The sequence below is a fragment of the Homo sapiens genome, chromosome 10, assembly GCF_000001405.40.
Source record: "Homo sapiens chromosome 10, GRCh38.p14 Primary Assembly".
NCBI classification, from domain to species: domain Eukaryota; kingdom Metazoa; phylum Chordata; class Mammalia; order Primates; family Hominidae; genus Homo; species Homo sapiens.
In genome coordinates this window covers 42,148,678-42,149,731 of record NC_000010.11, presented here as the reverse complement: position 1 = coordinate 42,149,731, position 1,054 = coordinate 42,148,678, and the positions used below count along the sequence as shown (strand labels likewise).

Genomic DNA, 1,054 nt, shown 5'->3' with positions numbered 1-1,054 from the left:
CGTCGCGGGTTTTTGCCCCCACCGCCGCGGGTCTGAGGGCGGGATCGTCAGACTCGGCTTCCAGATCTACTGGCGTCCTGGCTAAGGCAGCTCCGAGGGTCACTCCTGATCTAGCTCTCCTGGTTCGGGGGTTCCTTGCCTAGACACCCGCGCCCCAGGCTCCGCTCCTGGGCCACTGCAGCCTGCATAGAGGGGCGCTGCGCTAGGCCCCGATGGGAGAGAAGAAGGAGGGCGGTGGCGGGGGTGACGCGGCTATCGCGGAGGGAGGCACAGGGGCCGCGGCCAGCCGGGCGCTGCAGCCCTGCAGGCAGCTCCAGAAGCTCATCGGCATCTCCATTGGCAGCCTGCGCGGGCTGCGCACCAAGTGCACTGTGTCCAAGGACCTCACCCAGCAGGAGATACGGACAGTGGAGATAAGGGGGTCGGGGACCAGGGTTGGGCTCCAGCACCAGACTGGACATCTCCCTCGGGGCCCCAGTTCACTCCCGGCCGAGTTGCATGCTTGAGCCCGCGTCTCTCCCTTGGAGGCTTCTCCTCCCTCCTGCACTCGCTGATGCAGCAGCCGGAGGACCTGGGACCAGCCCTCACCTTGGGCAGGATTTGTGGGGTGGGTGCGTGTTGGGAACTTTGATGGAGGCTCGAGGGGCCCGTGGGTGGGGTGGGCTGTGCGCGGACGTCCCCTTACACCCCGAATTTCCATCTGGTGCAGCCTTCTCATCTTGTAGGTGAGGAAACCGAAGGCCTGAGGGAGAAATGACTTGTCAGGAACCCCTGTTAAGGAAAATTAACAAATTGTGGTTATCAAAGGAGAACTGAGTTGAGATTCAGACCTGGAGTCCCACACCCTTGGTTAAGACATTATACCACCTTGAGTCTGGCCTGTTGACTGAGGGTGAGCCACTCCATTCTTGTCTGATTGTGGGGTCTTGACCTCAAGGGGTTTCGTGCAGCAATAAGCAAATGGGTTTGCTTTCCTAGCTCTGTCCAGTACTTTAGGGACCCTGAGAAGTGGAGAGATTCTTGGAGAGCCATCTGGTGTATGTCATGGGTGGGC

The 1,054-nt window shown here is 60.7% G+C and overlaps 1 pseudogene; it reads left to right on the top strand.

Annotated features, from left to right (window-relative positions):
* Window positions 1–413, top strand: KSR1P1 (kinase suppressor of ras 1 pseudogene 1; annotated as a pseudogene).